The sequence below is a fragment of the Homo sapiens genome, chromosome 12, assembly GCF_000001405.40.
Source record: "Homo sapiens chromosome 12, GRCh38.p14 Primary Assembly".
NCBI lineage: Eukaryota > Metazoa > Chordata > Mammalia > Primates > Hominidae > Homo > Homo sapiens.
Window position 1 is genome coordinate 4,767,023 of NC_000012.12, and position 6,000 is coordinate 4,773,022.

Sequence of the window (6,000 nt, forward strand, 5' to 3'; positions counted from 1 at the left end):
AATTCTATGGAACTACATGTAATTCAGTGAAAATCCAGGTTCCCTCTGACCTTAGGCCTTTCTGCAGGTATTATTCCCTCCCCTCCCGCTTCTTCACCAGGCCAACTACAAAGTGTTCCCCTGGCCTTAGACATCATCTTCCTTGGGAAGCTTTCTGTGACCCCAGAGGAGTCGGTTGGGTGGTTCCTCTAATTGCTCTCAGGGGTGCTTTTGTAGCCCTGGTCTCACCATCTCTTGCAATTGTCTGCTCACTTTTTTCTTTTCATCATTTGGCTGTGAGCTGGAGGCCAGGGCCTGGGGTTTGCTGTTTTTTCTCTAGCATCTGGCACAACCCCTAGAACATGGCAGGCACTCAACAAATGGTTGCAGAGCAAATGGAAGATTGGCAGGCCTGGAGATATTAGCTTGAAAGGCTTGTTAGGCTTATGGATAGAGAAAAGGTGATGCTGTCTTTGTGAGGAAGAGGGAGCAGATTTGTTTAATGTTGCAGGAGGGCGGAACTGAGACCCACAGATAAAGATTAAGGAGGCAGATTTTGACTTAATGTAGGAGCAAGGGGAGGACTTACTAAAGGCCTTACAGCTTCAGGTTTCCTACAGAAGAATAGGCTGCTGAGCATAGTGGTGAGTTCTCTGTCAATGGCAGTCACCAAGCACAGCATGTCTGAGCATCTGGCAGACCTAGGGTGCTAAATATGAGTTTTTGATGGCCTTAATCATATCTTTTTTGTTCGTGTGAAGAAAACTACAACAAGTTACTTTGTTTTAAAAAATTAATATTCATTGTATTCAAGTTATAAATTAAAACATTTAATGAGATAGTGTGTGTAAAGCATTTAGCATGGTACTCGGTGCAAAGGAGTGTTCAAAGAATCATGGTTTTTCTTTAAGCTTTTAAGTTCAGCTTACAAATTTTACTATTTTATCTATAAGCCTAACAAGTTTTGACAATCCCCTTTAAAGAAGATTTTTTAATTTAATAAATTAAATTCCATTAAACATGATGAGCTGTATTTACAAATTTAATATGTTAAATTTCCTTTCTTAAGAACTTCAATTACCTGACTTTAAATTTTTCAATTCTTAAGTTCTCTTAAATGTTTCAGAAGTGTTTATAAAGTCAGTAAAATTTCACCATCGAGTCACCAATTTAATTACTCAAATACACATTTTAAAATTGCTATCACAAGATTAATCTGTAAGATGCCAATTTTCTTAGATACAAGTACTTAAAAATAGTAAATATACACAGAATCTTTGGCAAGTACTATGTATTTGATTCCCTTAATAGCTATACTTTATCCTAAACCTCGTAAGAATTAAAGATACAATGTATTCTAAAGAAATAATATTTTTAGATAAAATTTTATTCTCATTTTTTCATATCTTTTTTTTGTGTTTTTTCTTTTCATGATAACAGCCTACCATTACTAAATAAATAATTATGCATTCCAAACATTTTGAAGGTTGCCTTGCCAAGAAAATTTTGGATGATCGCCTTCTCAGCTGACTGAGGCTACTGACAGAAAAGAGATTTGGGTTGGCTGTGAGATCTGGAAGGCAGAACATCCAGGGAAATTCTGCCAACCATTCTAACATACAGGCTGGGTCCATTTCTATGGCCACTATGTCAAGAACCACAAAAATTGAAAAGGGAGGTGATCGTGTAATTTCTGGTGTGTTACCTAATATTAAGTTAGTGTTGAGTGGGTTCACTCCATCTAATCCTTTTCCATCCATCTTACCTCTTAGGTCTATAATTCTTTCAGATATGAAAAATGATACTTGATTGAATGTTGGGCTCTTCTGGTTCTCACTTTACTTTGTAGACACAACTTACAAATTAATTTACTAAAAAGTTACCAAAGAAATTTTCCAAAATTGAGAGGGAGATGAGACTAGATCATCCCTTCGTTTTCTTTGATTTCATGATTCTGTGTTTTGGGTGTACCAGAGGAGGCTATGACCCTTGTGACTCACAAGAGAGCCAGTGATGGGGTGGGGACCCAGTTCAAGAAGAGAAGGGCTAGTCAGACACATGGACTTTAAGTTGAGGAGCACAGCGTTAAGATAGTGTGCCACTGAAATAAGGGGGCATTTGGAGAAGGTCATCCATCTTCGGGGTGAAGCAACAGCTCACAATACAAAGAGGGTCTCTGTGAGGAGTAGTGAGGAATAGTGAGGAGGAGGAGAGCACTCGTGGTGAGGGGTTGGAAGTTTGGGGAAAGAGGAAGTGGGGAGGGAGTGCTCCCACACACCACTGGTGAGCATGGAGACTGGCACGGCTCCAGAAGCAACTTGCCCACGTGTAGGAAAACCAGACACTCCTCAGAACCCAAACTAACTACAACCCTTTTTAAGGCACTGATTCTTTTTTAGGACAATATCTTTACTTAAAGAATAGTACAGAACATAGGCCAGGATTAATGTAGAAAATATCTTAATACTTATCACAGTGAAACACAAGGAAAAATTAAATGTCCAACAGCAGGGGAGGTTTTGCTCATCTCTTGAACTGAATATTATATAGCCATTCAAATGATGTTCTCAAGAAATCTATTTCAAAAAATTAATAAAATTGGAAAAGATGTATATAGAATGTTAAATTTATATAAAGAAGCAAGATGTAAAGACCACATATACAATATTATCTTGTTATGAGTGCTTTTATATACTTTATATATAAAATATTTTAAAATATATTTTCTATAAATACACTTCTAGTCAATCATCCCCTCCCCTGAAAGCCATCAGCGATCCTGAGGACATGACCTCATGGATGATCTCAGAGGAGCTGCTCCATGCCCGCCTCACCTGCCAGCAGCCCATGTGCCCTGAGCCCTGACCATTTATTTTAAAGTATTTTATATACTTTAAAAATGTTTTCCAAGTTAAAAAAGAAGCATCTATTACTTTTGTAAAAGTGAAAAAGAAACAAAAAGAGAAATCCTTTTAAAAACTCTGACACGCAGCACCCCAAAATAAAAACCAAAATGGCCGGGCACGGTGGCTCACGCCTATAACCCCAGCACTTTGGGAGGCCGAGGCGGGCAGACCATGAACTGAGGTCAGGAGTTTGAGACCAGCCTGGCCAACATGGTGAAATCCTGTCTCTACTAAAAATACAAAAATTAGCTGGTTGTGGTGGTGGGCGCCTGTAATCCCAACCACCTGGGAGGCTGAGGCAGGAGAATTACCTGAACCCGGGAGGCGGAGGTTGCAAGGAGCCAAGATCATGCCACTGCACTCTATCCTGGACAACAGAGCGAGACTGTGTCTCAAAAGAAAAAAAAAAAAACAAAAAACAAACAACAAAAAAAATCAAACCCAAAACAAAAATGTGTAAGATACAGATGAACACAATTTGAAAGAAACTAGAGGATGTGTGGAACACTGTCAAAGCTCATGTCATGTGGAAGTTGAGTGGAAATAGAAAACAGACCACTGACTTTGTCTAAAAGGTCACAATAAATTATTGGTCACAATAATTTATTGTGACCAATAATAAATTATTGTGACCAAGAGTTATTGAATACATATTTGCACCATGCATTGGGTTAAACATTTTCTCATTTAGTTCTTATAAAACATAGTCTTATATGAGAAGTGTGATCACTAGCTCCATCTCACCCATGAAGTAACTGGGGCACTGAGGAGTCCAATTATTTGCTGAGGGCTACACAGTGTAGTAAATGCCCAGCACTCAAACACGGAATCTTAACCACTGTGTGCTATTGCCTCGTTGCTTGGGAATTTGATTCTGAAAGGGAGAGAAACTGAATGTTTGTTGAAAGGGATAGTAGAGTTAAGGTCTGGGTTTATTTTGTCCTTCTAATATCGTGACATTTGGACATGTTTAAAGGCAGTAGAAAAGGAATCTGCAAAGAGGGAGAAATAAAAGATGGATGTTAGGAATAGTGTTTCTCTAGCATCGAGGATGGCTGGGGCTCAGGGAACAGAGGGGGGCTGCTGGCGGGTGAGGCGGGCATGGGGCCGCTCTTTTGAGATCATCTGTGAGGCTGTGTCCTCAGGATCGCTGATGGCTTGCAGGGGACGGGAAGATTGAATAGGAGTGTGGTGTTCTTGACATTTAGTTAAAGTGAGTGCCAGGTGGGGGCTGACAGACGAAGCATGCTGAGGAGGCCTGGAAGAGGAACCCTGAGGAGTAAGCTGAGCCCTGGGGCCAGGCTGCTGTGGGCAGGTTTATGAGCCAGGCCTGCTCAGTTGGCAGACCCTGTCCACAAGCACTCTGTGGTCTGGAAGCAAAGAGAGAGGAGTGGTGGCAGTGGTGGAGGAGAAGTTCCAGAATCTGAAGCGTTGCCCTGAATGGCCAATGCTGGATGGGTGCCCAGAGGAGGAAAGGGTGGTTGGGGCTGGGGGGAGTCCAGGGACAGGCAAATTTTGGGGGGAGCAAGGGCTGTTAGAGGCAGTTTGTGATTGGAAGAGATGAGAGGCAGGGAGGTGATGGTGAGAGAGGAAGCAGAAATTTGGAGATGTTACAGCTGCAGTCAGTCCCACTTGGTGCTCAAGAACTTGGTGGCAGTTTGTCTGAAGGGGAACAGTGAGGTCAGGGTTTTTCACTAGCCATCAGAATGAATGTTATGCACCCTGAGGATGATAGCAGAGTGCAGGGCATAAAAAGGAAAGAGCCTGACCCAGGCAGTAATGTAGATCATGTGAGTCCTGCAAAGGGTGGAGAGGGAACGTGGGAGAGAGAGGGCCGGGAGCAGAGGGCAGGACCAGGAGAGACGGTAGTTTGGACAGATGGCAGGAGTGTCAGTTGCTGAGATATGAAGATAAGGGGGAAGACTTGGAGAGATTAGGTAATTTGCCCAAGCCCACACGGTTCGTATGTGGAAGAGCAAGGATTCAGCCCTGACTTTGTAGCACTAAAGCCTATCATGTTCCCAGTTATAAACCTTAGCGAAGTCCCCTCAATAGGAGAGGCGGGAAGCTGCCTCAGAGGCTGAGATTCCTGACTGTAGCTCCTGCTCCAGGCCCACAACACAGTTTCCCTGAAGAGGGAGAGAAGCACAAGGTGAAGGTGACCCTGATGGGTCTCATGGGGTCAGGGGTGAGGACGTGGAGAGGAGGGCCAAGTTGAGAAGGCCCACGGTTCTCACAGATGCCTTCGTTCCATGGTAGTCAGTACTGACCCAATGCTTCCATCTCAGGAGAGGCTGAGGGCATCACACGAAGCCAGCGCAACATCGCCTGGTTAGTCAGTTTGCCATGGGGCTGGTAGAGGAAGCACGGGGTGATCTCATCCTACATTCTGCTTCCCTTTCTTCCCTGGATGACTTGTGGAGCACTGAGGGGTCCCTCAAGAATGTGGCTGAGCACAGCAGGGAGAGCAGGGCTAGAAGAGATGATGAATTACTGAGGCATTTCAGCACCTTGGCTCTGTCTCTCTTCCCCTCCAGGGAGGAGCTGTCATAAACAGAGATACCAAGCGGTGTCTGGAGATGAAGAAGGATCTTTTGGGTAGCCACGTGCTTGTGCTCCAGACCTGTAGCACGCAAGTGTGGGAAATCCAGCACACTGTCAGAGACTGGGGTCAGACCAACAGCCAGTGATCCTCAGATGGTGCTGGATCTGGGTCATCAATTCTTGCAAGTGGAATGGCTTCTACTCCTAACACTCCCAGCTTCTTTCTCAATGAGAAAGAAAGCATGTGTATGTCTGTTTATGGCGACTTCAGGTGGGGCCTGTGCGTGTGCCGGGGTGTCTCTGTTGGAGAGAGGAGAGGAAGCTCTGATGCCTCGTCCCCAGCTTCCCTGGGAAGGTCGTGATATATATCAAATGCCATTCTTGGAAACTCCTTGAAATAACCAGCATCTTTTGGCTGTTACGTGGGGAGAGAAGGAGGAGGTTGGAAGTTTATCTTTGACTTCTGCCCACGATGTTTAGCCTTCCTTCCCGACAGCTACTGTCGCCATCTGCCCCACACCTCCTCCCCAGCTCATCTGCTTGGGGACTCCCCAGGCTGCCGGGGGCCATT

The 6,000-nt window shown here is 44.0% G+C and overlaps 1 protein-coding gene across 1 annotated transcript in view; it reads left to right on the forward strand.

The window, feature by feature from the left end:
* GALNT8 (polypeptide N-acetylgalactosaminyltransferase 8) overlaps positions 1 to 5,704 on the forward strand; it is a 52,327-nt gene extending 46,623 nt beyond the window's left edge. Inside the window, exon 11 of the mRNA NM_017417.2 lies at positions 5,423 to 5,704. Coding sequence (NP_059113.1) covers positions 5,423 to 5,575 — 153 coding nt within the window. The 3' untranslated portion in view covers positions 5,576 to 5,704. The remainder of the gene's footprint in view (positions 1 to 5,422) is intronic.
* Positions 5,705 to 6,000: the final 296 nt, after the last annotated feature.